The sequence below is a fragment of the Homo sapiens genome, chromosome 9, assembly GCF_000001405.40.
Source record: "Homo sapiens chromosome 9, GRCh38.p14 Primary Assembly".
In the NCBI taxonomy this organism is placed as follows: Eukaryota; Metazoa; Chordata; class Mammalia; order Primates; family Hominidae; genus Homo; species Homo sapiens.
This window is the reverse complement of record NC_000009.12, coordinates 130946134-130963924: the sequence shown is the minus strand read 5'-3', so window position 1 is coordinate 130963924 and position 17791 is coordinate 130946134. Positions and strand designations below refer to the sequence as shown.

Here is a 17791-nt window from a genome sequence, read left to right as displayed (position 1 = left end):
CCATGCCCAGCTATTTTTTGTATTTTTAGTAGAGACGGGGCTTCACCATGTTGGTCAGGCTGGTCTATGAACTCCTGACGTCAGGTGATCCGCCTGCTTCGACTTCCCAAAGTGCTGGGATTACAGGTGTGAGCCACCGTGCCCGGCCTAGGCCCATCTGTGCACTTCCTTGTAAAATCCAGTTTTAGCAAAGAACCCTGCTAAATCAGTGTGGTCAGAACCCCTAAACTGGATATCCGATCAGGCTCCTCATCCTCCACCATCCCCGAGGTGATCTGATCCCCTGGCCCATCAGCAAGAATCCTGCTGGGCTGGTTTAGGCAGAATCCTCCTTTCCTCTAATGTTTCCTCGTGGGGATTTTTCACTCGCTGACCCCCCGCCCCCCCGCCCCGCACCCTGCTCCTCGGCTATTAATCTCCACTTGTCCAGGCTGTGTTTGGAGTTGAGCCCAATCCCCCAAGCCTCAGGCTCCCTTGCCATGGTCCTTGATGATTCTGAATAAAGTTTTCCTAACCATGTCTCCTAACAAGTGCCATTGAATCATTTTTTTTTCTTTAATAGAGTGAGCTAAGAATGGTGTTCGCATTTTTAAAGGGTTGTAAAAAGGAAATCAAAGATGCATATGCAGAGTCTAAAACATTTACTGTCTGGTTCTTGACAGTTTTCCGACTATCATGGTGGAGCTCTCCAGCCTTGGGGAGGGGAGTGGTGAGGTTTGGGGCATGAGACACCGCACGCCGCAGGGGCACAATCTCCCACGGCCCTTGCCCTAGGCCTGGGTGCTGGCCGAGGGACGCACTGCCAGGCTGCTCACAGCCCAGCCCCTGCCTGGGTCCCCAAGTGCCAGACGTCAGTTCTCCGTGGCTCCCATCCCAGGAGGAGGTGAAAAATGTGACACCTATAAGTGGGACATTAAAGTTTAATGGGGGCTGATGCATATTTAATGGGGCTTAACAAAGCATCCTTAAAGACATCCCAGACAGCCCCCCGGGGCGGGGGCATGCTGCCGCGAAAGCTGCCCTGCCCACTGCAGCCGGTGCTCCCTCATCTGTCTGGTGGCGTCCCTAGGAAAACTTGGCATTCCAAGCTCTTGCCAGAGCCAAGTGTGGGCCTGCGGTCTCCGAGGGAGCTGCCCTTTCATTATTAATATTATGAGAATGTCTGACGGGCCACGTGAGTCACAGGGATGTGACTCAGTCTGCCTGCCCCATTCCAGGAAGCCTCTGTTGGACAGAATGGGAGGCCTGCCCCCTCCTCCCTCAGTCCCTCTGTTCCCCAACCTATGTCAGGAGCCACAGCTGGAGTGGAAGGTCAGATGGGGACATCCTGGGAGTGGGGGTGCACAGAGATGGGATAAGATGGGTCCCTGTCATTGACTCCAAAATAACTGCCTGAGACTCGGAGATCCCGCATTCTTTGAATCAGGGCATCTTGGAAGGGCTGCCGTGGACACACCTGAGTCCAGAGGTCCAGGCCTGCTGGCTGTGAGCTCTGACACAGCAACAGGAACTGCATGGCCGTTGTTTCACTGCTCCCCCACCCCCATTGACATGACCTTGGGACCACAGCCTACTCTCAGCTCACCCCTGATATTTCTGGGGTCTCCAAGTGTTTCTCATAAGGAGCCCGCCAGTCCTTATTGATGTCTTCACAGGCCGTGAAGCAGAGGAAGCTTTTCCTCTCATGCTTCATCTTGGCCTGGTGAAGGATGGCGGTGACCTAGAATTCTCAAGTGGCAGGTCCCCAAGACTCAGCCCCATGCCTTGTCCTGGTCTCAGCACTGACCCATTCATCCTCAGTTACCTGTGATGTATAGACTATGCACAGTGCATCCCTGTAGGCTGTCCCTACAACACAATCTGACCCTACAGCACAACCTGTCCCTACAGCACAACCTGTCCCTACAGCACACCCTGTACCTGTAGCCTCTACTTGCAGCACAGCCTGTCCCTGTAGCCTGTACCTGCTGCACAACTTGTCCCCATAGCTTGTACCTGCAGCACAACCTGTCCCTGCAGCCCAGCCTTTGCCTGTAGCCCAGCCATACTGTATTTCACTTCTGGGTGTCTTACTTCCTCCTCAACTTCCCCCATGGGGTGTTCCAGGGCTCCCCCACAGCTCAATACATCCAATATGGAGCTTCAGATCTACCCCAAACGCCTGGTCCTCACCCAAGCTTCCCTGCTGAGGTGAATAGCATCCCATTGTCAAAAGGCCCGGACCAGACACTCGCCGAGGGGCTCTCCTTGAAGCCTGTCTCTCCTAAACATGTTTCTAGCCCTTAGGCCCTGCTGACTTTGTCATCCTCCTCCCAACCCTGGTCCAAGCCACATCACCTCTCCTGGCCTCTGTGCAGCCCCAGCCAACCCCTCGATCCATTTCCCTTCAGGATCAGAGTGAACTTCCAAGTACCATCTGATCACGTGGGGCTCCCATTTAAAATCTGTCAGTGGGTTCCTGGTTCTCTCTGAAACGAGACCAAATCCCTCCCACTCACCCCTGTCCCAACCCAGATATAAGCCCCACTGACACTCCCAGTGCCCAGGGATGCCGGCCCCCTTCTGCCTCAGGACTCCCTGCACCACCAGCGTCAGCAGGGACGCATGAGATTGGCCACCCCCACTTGGTGCCATTTGTCCAATTGCCCTTGATTGAGGACCTGCATTGGGTCAAGGCCTGGTCCCTGGACCCCAAAGCAGCACTATGGAGCCCCAAGTGTCCCAGGGTCCATCCTCGGAAGAGCCCCTTCCTTCAAGAGACACATCCCCTTACTCTAGTTGCATCCCCCCACCCCCCTTGATGTCTGGGGACCCTGGCTCAGCTGTCCTGGGCCCAGTCAGAATCGCCGGCGAGGCTGGCCAGGAGCCTGGGCCCAGTTGGAATGGGCCAATGTCAATCTGTTGTGTGAGAAGGGAGGCCTCCCCGATGTGCAGAAGTTTGGGATGTTAATCCACAGAGCATCCATCTGGGTCAGGGATTTGAAGATGTGTTCTGCAGTCTCAGGTTCTGCGGGGGCTGAAGGCAGGGGCTGCTGGAGGGGGAATGGGAGGCCAGCAGGGTGCCCTGGGCCCTTCAATAACCACCTCCCAACCCTTGGGACGGGGGTGGTTCTGTATGAAGTCACATTTGAACAGAGTATTCCAACCACAGTCGAATCCAGACACCTCATTTCACAGATGGGGAAAGTGTAGCTGGGCTGGGTGTGGGGGCTAAGGGTGCTCTTCTTGGTCACAGCCGAGCCCCAGGCTTGTGGGGACCTATCAGCAGGGATGGAAGTTAGTATGAGAAGGCGGAGGGGGTTGGTGACATCTGGAGTAGCTAGTCATGTCTCTGGGTTCTTGCTCGAGAAGAAGCAGGTGTCCTGGCAGCTTTGCAATGTCTCTCCAACCCCCTTCAGTTTCCACCCCTACCAGGCACCCCGCACCCATCATCCAAGGCGGCACAAAGAAATCAGCCGTCCTCACGTTTGGGAAACATTTTCTACTTCGTTTGCCATTTGTTATCTCTCTTTTTTGACAAAAACATTCTCCCAAACATCTTGCGGGGGGTTGTGATTTCACGATTCAAGATTCTCTGGTGCTGAACCTTGGTGATTTAATGATTCTAGGGGTAGGAGATTCCCATTCAGTGTCTGGGGGGACAGGCAATAGGACAGGTCTGACGGCACCCATACATGCGGGCGGCAGAGCCCATCCTGGCCTCAGCCACCTGCTCCTCAGCTCGGCATGAGTCCTTCCCAGCAATCATGTGAGCTGAAAGAAAGTTCCAGGGCAAGGTCCCAGTTGCTGGCTTCTGGAGGGAGGAGTTGAAAGACCCTCACCTCCACTGTCCTCATCAGGGGCACGAAGGAAGCTGCTCAGCAGGTGTGAACTGATCCCAGGTTCTGGATGGGGCTGCCTTGATGGAGGGCGGTCACTGTGCATGGACCTGCCGGAGCAGATGACCACAGCTCTCCCAGTCTTCCTTCTCCAGGTTTGAGAGCCCCCCCTCCTCCCATGAAAACCTGGGTGGGTTGTCCAGATACCGGCCTCAGGTAGGAGGGCAAAGCCGACCCTACATTGTCCTGGTTCTCTTGGGGCCTCTGGTGAGAACTGACTTCTTTTTCCTGGTGGGCACCTAGGGGGTCGGACGAGCTCCCTCACACGCCATCTTGGTCTGGGCAGTTTAGACCTGAGTTGTTCCAGGCTAGATGAAACTCTACATGAAAACTTCCAGAGTTGGACAGAGTCAAATTCTACTTCACCTTCCATTCACCATCATCATCCCTAGAACCAATCTCCCTCTGGGACCTCAAAGGATGGGGTGTCCAGGCTCTAGGGCAGGATTCCTGGGTTCCTGGCCAAACCATATCCAACAGTGCCCAGTCCCACCCCCTCTCCCTTGGGTCCTCCCAGGTGGCCCCTGCTTGCCTGAGACCCATGGGCACCTTTGGGGCTGGAGCTGACCAGTTTATCCCGTCCAGCTCCTTATAAGCCTTGCACTTCTGACATCAATAATTTATGGGGATATCGGGATGCAGGGGGGCTGGCAGAGTGATAGGTAGGGGGTACCAGAGGCAAATCTGGGACTAAATTAGGCAGGTGCTTTGTGAGCAGGCCCCAAAGGGTGGGCCCGAGCTAGATGGCTTTGGAACCTGGTCATCAAGAAACTGACAGACACTGGGCCCTGTGGGCAGGTGGGGAGTTTCCACTCCTTGCATGGCTCAAGGCCCCATTCAGATTCAGCCCAGGCCCCGAGGAGTCCCTGAGGGTCTAGGGGAGAATGGGGTCAGGGTGCAAGAGGGGGAAGGAGGGCCCTTGAGTAAAAGTAGTGGGAGGTGTGCTAGTGAAGGTGATGGTGGTCACGCTGGTAGTGCTGGGATGGTAGTCACAGTGCTGATGTGAGGAGTGGTGGTGATAGTGATGGTGGTAGTGATGGTATAATGGTGATGGTGGTGGTGATGATGGTCGAGGTGGTGACAGTGATGGAAGTGGTGGAAGTGATGGTGATGGCAGTGATGGTGGTGGTGGTGGTGGTGACAGTGGTGGTGATGGTGGTGATGGTGGTGGTGGTGGTGGTGGTGTTGGAGGTGGTGATGGTGATGGTGGTGGTTGTGGTGATGGTGATGGTGGTGGTTCTGGTGATGGTGATGGTGATGGTGGTGGTGGTGGTGGTGGTGGTGATGGTGATGGCGGTGGTGGTGGTGATGGCGGTGGTGGTGGTGGTGGTGATGGCGGTGGTGGTGGTGATGGTGATGACAGTGGTGGTGATGGTGGTGATGGTGGTGGTGGTGGTGGTGGTGTTGGAGGTGGTGATGGTGATGGTGGTGGTGCTGGTGGTGATGGTAGTGGTGGTGATGATAGCGGTGATGATAATAACAACAGCAGTGAACATTTATTGAGCCACTGCAGGTGCCATACCTGTATTGTGGAGTTGATGTGCCTAATCTCATTGCACCTTTGTGGCCACCTAAGGAGATTTGCCTTATTGCGTTACTATTATCATCCTCATTTACAAATGAAGAAACCGAGATTTAGAGAGTTAAAGTCACTTGCCCAAGGTCAGTGAATAAATGGCAAGACTGGGACAAGAATCCACGTCTGCCTGCCTACACTGCACCATTCTAACCTCTCATATCTGGCCCTTTCTGCAGGGACACAAAGTGGCAGGCCGGCCAAAGAAACTCAGTGCCTCCCGCCTCTGTCCTTCCCAATCCCCTGGGCTGCCTTGCACCCGCCTGCCCTGTCAGCATCATGAGTCTGTGACTCCTCACTAAGCCTTTTGCAAAATAACTTCAAGCTGTTGTCTTCTTTGACCTCTGCAAGGGCTCTGAGGGGCAGGCTTTATTAGAAGACAGGGAAACTAAGGCTGGAGAGGGGACGTGACTTGATGGAGGTCACTGAGAGCGGTTGAGGGGGTGACTAGCTAAGAACCCAGGACACCTGACACTCAGCCGAGGTGCTGCCCACTCACCTCCATGGGGGCCATCAGAGCGGCAGACTGGACCCAGTGGGCACCACAAGACGGTAATAAGGACATCTCCAGGCTGTGCAAGCTTAGTTGAATATCTCAACCTCTCTGAACTGTGATCAGGGCTCACTACAGGGCCTGCACATGGGAAAATTTGGGTCCATGGAGTGCAGGAAAGACTCATGCTGGACGTGGTGTGACAGCCCAGAGCCTTCGCATCCATGGAGGAGGCTACCCCTGCCCAGGATGGAATGCCTGTCACCCTGGAGGAGAGGCTCCAGTTGGAGATCCAGTTGGATCCAGTTAGGGTCTAGTTGGAGACCACACCAAACCCCCCTCCTACCAGTCTAGGTGACAGGAGGGGATGCAGCGTTCCTGAGCTCATGCTGGCGAGGGACTGAGCCATGGCTATTCCACCGGGACCTGGCCCCATAGGGCTTTGCCTGGCTGCTCAGAAGAAGAGGTGACCCCACTCCCACCTGCTGTCACCATGGTGGCAAGGCCTTCCGGTGGGGGTGGAAAATCTGGGCCGGGCTTCAGCTCCCTCCACAGCACCCAAACGGCTGATAATGCGAGAAATTTCAAAAAACAAAACCAGATGCTTATTTGAACATTTCTGGCACTCAAAAGGCTAGGAGTTCCATCCCCAGAGCAGCTGCTTCCTCGCATCTGCTGCCTCCCGTCTGCTGCCTTAGGCTTCCCCACCCTCCGGGCCCAGTCCCAGGTGACAAGGGTCCTGCTTCCCTGGGTCTCAGCCGCAGTCTATGCCGCAGCCCCTCACCCCACCCTCCACCTAGGCTCGGGGGGGCCGGAAGCCATACTCCTGGCCATGCGATCCCACTGCCCAGCTCACCTGCCCCCTCCTCTCCTGAGAGGCCAGGGCCTTTGCCAGTCCCTGGGGGCTTCCTACAGAGAACATGTGGCTCTGGAGAAAGGTGACTCAGACTCATGGCAGGGGCTCGGCAGAGCAGCAGGGAAGGGGGCTGAGGCTCTGGGGGGCCTCAGCTGGCCTGGCACTTTGACTTGGAGGAAAGTTGCGCCACCTGCCAACTAACGCAGGAATACAGTCCGGTTTCCAGGCCTCCAAGGGCCCCAGAGTGTCCCCCCAACCTCCAGGCCTTTCCTTGACATCCGCCCCAGGGTCTCGTTGGGGGAAGGAATCCGGGAAGGGGGCTCTGCTGGGCATCCCGATGGCCCCCGGGGGCCTCAGTTTCCCGTCTGGACATCCAGAGGGTTGAGCTGGATGGTTTGTAACAGCTCTTCCAGTTCCAATACTGCAGAATTCTAGAATGGCCCACCCCCCACAACCCCATCTCCATCACTAAGGGAAAATAAAAGGAAAAAAAATAACACCCACCCCATCTAATCCTTTCCCGGCTTATACCACGCAGCTCAGCTCTCTCGGCTCCTCTGGGGGATGATGGAAATGTGAATTTAAATAGAGTTATGTTGAAAGAACATTCCCCAGCACGGTCCCAGCAGGGAGAAGTCCTGCTGAGACGCAGAAGCAGGGCCTGCAGTTGGCATGTTTACGAGAGAGGCCAGCACCTTCGGACAATTACAATCAGGACAGCTTGATTAGCCTTCCTCCTCGCCTCACCCCTGCCCATGAATCTCCTTAATAGCTAGCTGCCTTCTTTTGGGGCACTGGGGTCGGCTGCTGGGAACTAGCTGCGTGTGGATAATCTCCCGGTGGCACCACGATGCCATCCACAGCTAACGGGCACTCCACACCAGCTTTCTGGGCAGCTTGCTCCCCCTCCTCAGTGGGGGCGGCCACCAGCCTGGGACAGGATTAGCACGGTTGTCTGCTCTGAGCTGAGGGCTCAGACATGGGGCTCCGGGCAGAATGGAGCTGGTGCGATGAGCTGGAGATATTTAGGGGGGCCCTGGCTTCCTCTGCACAGCCCTGAGACAACTCTTATGCCCCCACAGTCCTCACATCTCCCTATTGCCTGGGCACCCTTGAGGGGAGTGACAGCTGCGCTCACTGCAGGTCACAGAGTGGTGCTGGGGCAGGGGAATTTGTAACATAGAACCCAGCAGGGTCAGCTATGAGAGGTAGGAAGGCTGGCAGGATGGGCTTGTCTTAGCAGTGCATTCCATGGGGGCTTCTGACACCCCAAAGCTCAGGCCAACGGGTCATGGCAAGCCCCCAGGGGAGAGCCAGGAGCTGGGGACCTCATGGTGTTATGCTCCAGGTAGACAGGACAGTTGGTGCTGGACCCTGAGGTGGCTACACAAGGGGACAAGGATTGTAGTGTCAGGGCACGGAGTCCTCTGATGCCATGTGGGTGGAAATCAGCATGGGTAAGGCAGTTCTCACAGATGAAGGCCAGGACACCCCACGGCCCTTCCTGACTGCAGGGTCTGATGGAATGGAGTGGAGCCTGCTTTGGGGTGTGGTTTCAGGAGCTGCTTTTGCCCCCAAAAGTGGTCTCCTGCCCAAGACTGCATCTCCTCTTGTCCCTTCTCTGAGAGGCCTGTGGTTGAGCACAGGGATGAATGAGAATGTGATGGTGGTGGTAGTGCTGAGGATGGTGTTGGTGATGATGATGGTGGTGATAATGGTGGTAATGGTGATGATGGTGATGGTGCTGATGGTAGTGATGATGGTGATGAGGATGGTGGGGATAAAGATGGTGACGATGATCATGGTGATGGTGCTGATGATGATGATGGTGATGATGGTGGTGATGATGGTGATGATGATGGTGATGGTGATGGTGATGGTGGTGATGAAGATGGTAGGGATAATGATGGTAATAGTGGTGGTGGTGCTGCTGCTGATGATGATGGTGATGGTGGTGATGATGATGATGGTGATGGTGATGGTGATGATGGTGATGATGATGGTGATGGTGATGGTGATGGTGGTGATGAAGATGGTAGGGATAATGATGGTAATGGTGGTGCTGCTGCTGCTGATGATGCTGATGATGGTGGTGATGATGATGATGAGGATGGTGTCGATATTGATGGTGATGATGGTGGTAATGATGGTGATGGTGGTGATGATGACGATAGTGGTGATGATGATAATGGTGATACTGGTGGTATTAGCCCTGCCCAGGGACAGTAACTTCTGACAAGATTTTCTGCACACCCACTGAGAGCTCTCCTCCACATTGGGACTCCCAGAGGTAGCAGCAATGAGCCCAGTCTTTGAGGGACACATTGTCAACTTCTTGAGGACAGGCTGGGTTTCTTTCTCATTCATCCCTGTGCTCAACCACAGGCCTCTCAGAGAAGGGACAAGAGGAGATGCAGTCTTGGGCAGGAGACAAGATGACAGAGGTGAACCGGTGAGTGACAGAAGAGGCCTGGAATTTGATGGCTGTGTAAATGGCTAGAGCACTGCAAGAATCTAGAGCTGAAGGAAAATACTGAGGCACAGGGGATGATAGGCTTCAAATGAAGGCAGAGGCTCAAGATGGGGCAGGATTCTTGGTGGGTGATAGCCTGGCTAAGGGTGTGGTGGTGGGAAGGAAGTGGCTGGCACAGGGGAAACATTCAGCAGAGAAAGGAGGGATTGGTTTGGATGGGGTGGGGTTGACTGCCAAGCAAAAGGGTTTGGGCTTTTTCTTGTTGAAAATGGGGAACCCCTGGCTGCCTGAGAGCAAAGGCTGAAATGAGGGAGGCAGGATTCAGGAAGATATGTTGATGGTGCTATTTGGGGTAGACTGGGTGCTAGGTGCTGGATAATCATAATAAAACAAGTGTCCACCACCTACTGAGTGCCTGCAGGTGCCCAGCACTGGGCTCAGCACTTATCAGACCCATCCCCATGAGTCCTCTTTGTGCCCCTGGCGGGCAATTGTGGTGGTTTTAAAAACTACCCACTCTGGCTGGGTGTGGTGGCTCACACCTATAATCCCAGCACTTTGGGAGGCCAAGGCAGCCAGATCACTTGAGGTCAGGAGTTTGAGACCAGCCTGGCCAATGTGGTGAAACCCTGTCTCTACTAAAAACACAAACATGAGCCGGGCGTGGTGGTGCACTCCTGTAATCCCAGCTACTCAGGAGGCTGAGGCAGGAGAATCGATTCAATCCAGGGGTGGAGGCTGCAGTGAGCTGAGATAGCACCACTGCACTCCAACCTGGATGACGGAGTCAGACTCAGTTTCAAACAAACAAACAAACAAACAAACAAACAAAAAACTACCCACTCCTCTCTTAGGACAAGCCTCGTTCCCCTGCTCTTGAGTGTGGATGGTATGTAGGGACTCACTTCTAATCAACAGAATGTGGTGGAAATGATGGAGTGTGACTTTTGAGAGTAGGTTATAAAGATTGTGGCTTCCACCTTGCTCTCTCTCTTGGATCGCCTGCTCTGGTTGGCAATCTGTGAAGCTAAGTGTCCTTAAAACCAAGTTGCTGGCAAGGCGCGGTGGCTCATACCTGTAATCCCAGCACTTTGGCAGGCTGAGGTGGATCACGAGGTCAGGAGATCAAGACCATCCTGGCTAACGCAGTGAAACCCCGTCTCTACTAAAAATACAAAAAATTAGCTGGGCATGGTGACGGGCGCCTGTAGTCCCAGCTACTCGGGAAGCTGAGGCAGGAGAATGGTGTGAACCCACGAGGCAGAGCTCACAGTGAGCCGAGATTGCGCCACTGCACTCCAGCCTGGGTGACAGAGCAAGACTCCATCTCAAAAAAAAAAAAAAACAAAGTTGCCATGTTGTGAGGACACTCAAGCCACCCTATGGTGAAGTCCAGGGGGCAGGAAATCGAGGCCACCAGCCAAACAGCCATGTGACGGTGCCATCTTGGAAGTAGATCCTCCAGCCCCAGTCAAGGCATCAGATGATGCAGCCCCAGCCGACATAATGACTGCAACTTATTGAGGGGCCCTAAACAGGACCCACCCAACTAAGCTGCTCCTGAATTCCCAAGCCTTGCATGTTTTGAGCTGCTCCATTTTGGGGTAATTTGTTATGCAGCAATGGATATCCAACACAGTATTTTTGTTCTCCTTCTTGTTCAGACTAGAAAATCCAAGCTGGGAGGCTTCCAGGCAGGGAGCCTGGCTTAAGCAAAGGTATCCTGGCTGGAGCACTTGTTTCAGCAAGAGAAGCTTTCATCAGGATCAAATAGGCTTTGGGTACAGACTGAGCGGTTGGGGTCTGCATCCCTTCCCCGCTTCTGACACCTGCAGTGAGGAGCCACCCTCTCAGCTTCAGGGCTGCCCTCTGGACTCTAGACTGAGAAGGCTGCTTCACAGGTGGTCGCTTTGCAATGGAAAGTGGAGCCAAGCAGGCCAGGAATCTCATTCATTCATTGATTCATTCCTTCAATCACAACCAAGCCCCTACAGTGTGCCAGGGGCACCTGCAGCCCCCACATGAAGACTCTCCCTGCTGGGACACAGAACAGGACCCAGGGTGCTTGGATGGAGGTCACCCCCACGTCCTCAGGGGTACAGACAGGCAGATGTGGGCAGGGTGGAGGGAGGCCAAGGCTGTACGCTTCCTATTGACTTAAGACAGTGTGGGAAAGAAGATGGGAGACTGGAAAGCAAGGCCAGAGCTGGGCAACAGGGTTGGAGTCTTAAAGACAGTCCCGCTCTTTGACCCTGTAATTCTTTTCCTGGGAATCCACCCTAAGGAAGTAATTAGCCAGGCAAACTGCAACTGAGGGCAAGGCTGTTCACTATGCACTGTTTACAACAACTAGAAAATAGAAATAAGTGTTCAGAAATAAGGGAGGTTTACAAACACCATGTGCCTCCCCCACCCCCTCTGGAGTTAGATGACCCGGGTATAGATCTTTGTCTTCAGCCTTGTGGCCACTCCGTGCTCAGTTTCCTCACCTGTGTATGGAGATAAAGAGTCACTGTCAGGATTGGATGAGTTGGCACATGTTGCATACCCAGCTCAGCTGCTGGTACAAAGAACATCCTCTCTACATATGAGCTAATATCACTGTCAAATAGGCTTATGTTTAAAAGTGAGTTTGGGAGTTTCATTTATTTATTTATTTATGATTTTTTAATTTTTATTTTTTGAGACAGTGCAGTGGCGTGATCATGGCTTACTGCAGCCTTGACCTTCTGGGCTCAAGTGATCCTCCCACCTCAGCCTCCTGAGTAGCTGGGGCCACAGGCACGCACAACTACACCTGGCTAATTTTTTTTTTTAATTTTTTGTAGAAATGGGATCTTGTTATGTTGCCCAGGTTGGTCTCAAGCTCCTGGACTCAAGCGATGCTCCTACCTCGGCTTCCCAAAGTGTTAGATTACAGGTGTGAGCCACCTTGCCCAGCTTGAATTTTTAAATTTGTTTTGTTCTGTTTTGTTTTGGGGTGCAGTGGTACAATCATAGCTCACTACCACCTTGAATTCCTGGACTCAAGGGATCCTCCTACCTCAGCCTCCCAAGTAGCTGAGACTACAGCCATGCACCAGCATGCCTGGCTTATTTTTTAATTTTTTTTTAGAGACAGGATCTCATTATGTTGCCCAGGCTGGTCTTGAACTCTTGGGCTCAAGCAATCCTCCTGCCTCGGCCTCCCAAAGTGTTGGGATTACAGGTGTAAGCCACCATGCCTGGCTTGAGTTTTTGGATTTTGAAGAACGTGAGGGAAATTCTCACAATCATGTGGGATCTATCATATAACCTCAGTCTGGGCAAGACAGGGTCAGTGGGGCACAGACACTCACCCCTACCTCAGTCATTGTCACATAGCAGCAGTAGGTGCTGCAAGAACAGAGGTTAAAGGAGGATTTGCTGAACGGTTGTGAGAGAAAATGGGAGGGACACATCAAGCCCACACACACAGCACCCAGTTGCCTTATGGTGGCTTTTGCCAAAGCAGAGATGTAAATAGCAGTGGCTTCTTTGGAGGTGACCCAGGAAGCGCTGGAAGGGGAGTGGAGGGGGAGACAGGGAGAGGAAGGCATCTGTAACTGTGTGTGCTGTGTGTTAGTTGCAGCACTGGGCACTGGGGCTGGAGACCCCAAGGGAACTCTGGGAAACATGTAGAACATGCCCTCCCAAAGGGCGAGGGAGCTGGGGTATTTATCCTCTGACTCTTCCAACCTCCATCTGCCATTGGCTGAGGGCTACCCTTGTGGGGAGAAGGTGCAATTGCAGGTCTTGGCACCTTCTGGAAGGTTGAGCACTGAATGGCCACGTGGATGGAGATCCAATGCTGCGAGCTGCACTGGTACATGGTGAATGTTGAATAAACGCTGCTGTTGTTTTCCCATCCCAACCCTAAGTGCCTGCCACAGAAACATCATGAAGATCCTTCTCCCTGTCCATGTTGCACATCAGTATAGACAAATAGATTCCCAAGAAGTTGCTGCTGCTGGCCCAATATTTATGAGTCTCTGGCAATTACTAAGAAAACAGAAGCTGGGTGAAGTGGCTCACACCTATAATCCCAGCACTTTGGGAGGCCGAGGTGCAAGGATATCTTGAGCCCAGGAGTTGCCCAGACCAGCCTGGCAACATAGCAAAACCCTGTCTCTACAAAAAATGAAATAAATTAGCTGGTGTGCACCTGTAGTCCTTGCTACTTAGGAGGCTGAGGCAGGAGGATCAGAGGATCACTTGAGCCCAGGAGGTAGAGGCTGCAGTGAGCCATGCACTGCACTACAGCCTGGGCAACAGAGCAAGACCCTGTCTCAAAAAGAAAAAAAAAAAGAAAGAAAAGAAAGAAGAAGAAGAAAAGAAAACAGACTAGAAGGAAGCACCCCAAAATTGTAACCAGGCTTATCTCTGGGCAGAGTGATAATAGGTGATTTTTATAACTGGAATACAAATGTGAAATTTAAAAGAAATACAGATGGCATGTGGCAGGGGCTACCATGAGGAAAACACTTAGGGAGTGTCTCTGCTTTAGGTCCACAGTGAACTGCATGGTAGTAAAACGAATGTTTGCTCAACACCTGCTGTGTGCTGGCCAAGCCCTGGGGTGCACAATCTTATTTCCTCCTGTCACTGCCCTGGGAGGGAAGACAGGACCTTGCCTTTGCTTGTGTATCAGTCAGCTTTGTCTGTGCTATGCTGTGTAACAACCACTCCCAATATTCAGTGGCTTACAGAAACAGCATTTATTTTCCTGGCTTATAGCTCTGCCAGGTTCAGGCCTGTGTCAAACGTCTATCAGCATTCTGGGACCAGTGGCTTCCCAGGAAATGTTCTCATGGCCATGAGGGAACTACAGAGTGTGCCTCTTAAGGCCAAGGTAAGTCACACAGCCAAGTCCAAGGTCGATGGGGTAGGAGACACAGTGGAGGCACCAGGCAAAGGGTGTGGCCGTGTAATTCTCTAACAGTGAGGGAGGACTTAGGAGCAAGGTTTCCATCACCCAGAGAGCCATCACTCACCTGCAGCCCCTTCTAGAGTCAATGACTCCCTAGAACCCATAGCACACCTGCAGTCTCTTCTAGAGTCAATGACTCCCCAGAGCCCATCACCCACCTGTAGCCCATCGCCCACCTGCAGCTCATTGCCCACCTGCAGCCCCTTCTAGAGTCAATGACTCCCTAGAACCCATCGCCTACCTGCAGCCCATCACCCACCTGCAGCCCATCACCCACCTGCAGCCCATCGCCCACCTGCAGCCCCTTCAAGAGTCAATGTCTCTCCAGAGCCATCACCCACCTCAAGCAATTGCAGGTGTTGATGACTCAGAGTTGATGACTCCAGCCTGGATCTCTCTGGACTCTGGACTTGTATATTTGACGCCCACTCCATGCCCTTCCTGGAGGTCTAATAGGCAGCTCAAACTTAACACAGCCAGAACAAAACTCCTGATCACAGCCCGTTTCTCCTCCAGGTCTCCCTATCTCAGTGAGTGGCACCACCACCCACTTGCGTCGTGGGCCCCGGCTCTCGGCTCCGTCCTGCTACCTTACTCCTCATCTACTCCATCAGTCAGGCCTCCCGGCGCCATCTCCAAAACTTGTCCCACGTCTGTCCACGTCTCACTGAATCCACTGCCAATGCCCCAGTCTGAACTGCCTTCATCTCCTGCCAGGACAGCTGGCCTGACTCCCTCACTCGTCCCCACCACCCCAGAGCCCCTCAGAGCCCATCCTCGACACAGCAGCTAGAATGAGCTTGCAAAAATGTCCACCAGCTCATGGCATGCCCCTTTCTCCCCACCTGCAATCTTCCAGTGGTTTTTTTCTTTTTTTTTTTAGATGGAGTCTCGCTCCATTGCCCAGGCTGGAGTGCAATGGTGCCATCTCAGCTCACTGCAACCTCCACCTCCCTGGTTCAAGCAATTCTCCTGTCTCAGCCTCCCAAGTAGCTGGGATTACAGGTGCCTGCTACTACGCCTGGCTAATTTTTGTATTTTTAGTAGAGACGGGGTTTCACCATTCTGATCAGGCTGATCTCAAATTCCTGACCTCAGGTGATCCACCCCCGTCGGCTTCCCACAGTGCTGGGATTACACCGCGACCAGCCCTTCCGGTGGTTTTCTATTGTAACCATGTGATATCCAAACTCATCACCGGTGTGCACCTTCCATCGCTCATTCTCTCTCCAGTCTCATTGCTCCTCCCACCTTTCACTGCTCCAAACACAAGGCCTCTTTTCACATCTTAACACACACCAGCCTTGTTCCTGAGCAGGGCTTTTGCACCTGCCACTCCCTCAGCACCTCCAGCACCTCCCATGTGGTCCTTCAAATGCCACCTCCTCACAGCCTCTTCCCCAGCCATTGTGTATGACAGCACCCTGTTTGTTTTCTTATCACCATTGAATGTGTCTTATTTGTTCATTAGAATTAAACTACACATGGTAGCGCTCAATAAATATTTGTTGAAAGAACATGCTGGTGGATGGGATGTGGGAGGTGGGGGAAGAGGCGAGAGAATGAGAGTCTCCCTGGGCACATGGGTGGTCGGGGGAGCTTTCTGGTAGGTCTACAAGGAAACCTGGGTTCCGTTGGGGGCACCGCTCAGGAACACCAGGCCCTGTGAATCCCCCCGAGGCTCAGGCGGGGGTCTTCCCACCAAGGAGCAATACAGGTGGGGCTCTAACCGAGGTTCTCTCTATGCAGCTTCACCTCCTTCTCCAGGCAGGGGCGTCGAAGCGGGACCCAGAGTATGAGATGTGAGGCACCCAGAACCCCAACCCCAAAGCCAAAGCCTTGGGCTCTAGGAAGCCAACATAAAGCCAGGGCCATGCCTTCAGGGAATGGGCAGATGGGGAGAAATTCTACCTGGGGGAAAGGAAGATGACAGGGGAAGATTTCTCCTGCAAATTAATAACCAGTGGCGAGTTCCCATGAAGATTTTGGGGTTTGAATGTATTCTGCCAGTAGGAGCGTCAAGCAGTACGACCATGTCGGAAAGCAATTTGGCCATTTTTTTTATAAGGGCATGGCTGTTTGGTCGCTGATGTTAGAGGGTGCTGGGTACTTGCAGCTGTGCAGGTGGGAGGGGTGACTGGGAAACAGAACTGTGATTGGCAGCCCTTGCATACCACTGGCAGGTTTCTGAGGTTTGACTCAGACGCCAACATCCTCGGAGGCACAGATGACAGCTGAGCTGCCCTTCCCTCCCCACCACGGCTTTAAGACGCACCCTCTGGCAGGAGTGGTGCCAAGCGGGGATACCTACCAGGGAGGAGCTGCACCCAGGGAGAGGCGGCCCCCCATCCCAAGAGCCCAGACTGAATTAGGACAAGACAGGGTGAGTGGGGCTGCAGGGGAGGTGCTGGGTGGATGTTTGTGGAATGACTGACTGACTGACTGAATGAATGAATGAATGAACTGAGCGAATGAGTGACAAGGGGACCCGGCAAACACACCACAGCCACCATCTCTCACTGTGACACTCAAAGGGATGCTGGAAGATAAACCGGGCACCTGGAACCCCAAGTGCTGCCAGCGGGGGTGTCAAATAGGACAGCCACATCGTAAAGCAATTTTGTAGTTTCTGATAATGTTAAACACAGTCCCACCCTATGACTCAGCAATTCCATTCCTAGGTATGTACCCAAAGAGTGTGTACGTATGTGCAGCAGGGACATGTGTACAAATGTCCACAGCAACACTGTTCTCAACAGCTCCAACTGGAAGCAGGCCAAATGCCCACCAACAGGAAAATGGTTAAGCAGATTGTGGCAGAACCATATGATGAAATACACGGGCAATAAAAAGGAGTGAGCTGCCAACATGCACACAACATGGGTGCACCCACTGCTCACCTGGGGAGCGAAGGAGCGAAGGAAGCCAGACCCAAAAGAATATGCCCCACAGGGCTCCATTTACATAAAGTAAGAAAAGGCAAAAATAAGCAGATAGAAATCAGAACAGTGATTGCAGGGGAAGCTACTGGAAAGGGGCATGGGAACTTTCTAGGGTGACAGAAATATTCTCTTTTTTTTTTGAGACAGAGTCTCACTCTGTCATCCAGGCTGGAGTGCAATGGCGTGATCTCGGCTCACTGCAACCTCTGCCGCCCAGGTTCAAGCAATTAATTCTCCATGCCTCAGCCTCCTGAGTAGCTGGGATTACAGGCACCTGCCACAGCGCCTGGCTAATTTTTAGTAGAAGTAGAGACGGGGTTTCACCATATTGGTCAAGCTGGTCTTGAACTCTTGACCTCGTGATCCACTCGCCTCGGCCTCCCAAAGTGCTGGGATTACAGGCGTGAGCCACCGCATCCGGCCATTTTTTTTTTTTTTTTTTTTTAGGCAGGCTCTTTCTCTGTCATCCAGGCTGGAGGGCAGGGCAGTGGCATGATCATGGCTCGCTGCAGCCTCGAGCTCCTGGACTCAAGGGACCAGTCTTCCCAGTAGCTGGAACCACAGGCACACGCCACCACTCCCAGCTAATTTTTTCTGTTTCTTGTACAGACGGATTCTCACCATG

The 17791-nt window shown here is 53.2% G+C and overlaps 4 annotated features.

Moving 5' to 3' along the window:
• Positions 275-861: an enhancer, noted in NCBI's record as "NANOG-H3K4me1 hESC enhancer chr9:133838451-133839037 (GRCh37/hg19 assembly coordinates)". NCBI's record gives its function as "activates a minimal SCP1, AML or CMV promoter by ChIP-STARR-seq in primed H9 embryonic stem cells {active_cell/tissue: H9 hESC(primed)}" and the evidence as "EXISTENCE:reporter gene assay evidence [ECO:0000049][PMID:30033119]".
• Positions 862-1449: an enhancer, noted in NCBI's record as "NANOG-H3K4me1 hESC enhancer chr9:133837863-133838450 (GRCh37/hg19 assembly coordinates)". NCBI's record gives its function as "activates a minimal SCP1, AML or CMV promoter by ChIP-STARR-seq in primed H9 embryonic stem cells {active_cell/tissue: H9 hESC(primed)}" and the evidence as "EXISTENCE:reporter gene assay evidence [ECO:0000049][PMID:30033119]".
• Positions 3162-3336: a silencer, noted in NCBI's record as "fragment chr9:133835976-133836150 (GRCh37/hg19 assembly coordinates)". NCBI's record gives its function as "represses an EF-1alpha promoter that drives an FKBP-Casp9 reporter gene in an ReSE screen in phorbol 12-myristate 13-acetate-treated (for megakaryocytic differentiation) K562 erythroleukemia cells {active_cell/tissue: K562(+PMA)}" and the evidence as "EXISTENCE:reporter gene assay evidence [ECO:0000049][PMID:32094911]".
• Positions 16770-16975: a silencer, noted in NCBI's record as "fragment chr9:133822337-133822542 (GRCh37/hg19 assembly coordinates)". NCBI's record gives its function as "represses an EF-1alpha promoter that drives an FKBP-Casp9 reporter gene in an ReSE screen in K562 erythroleukemia cells {active_cell/tissue: K562}" and the evidence as "EXISTENCE:reporter gene assay evidence [ECO:0000049][PMID:32094911]".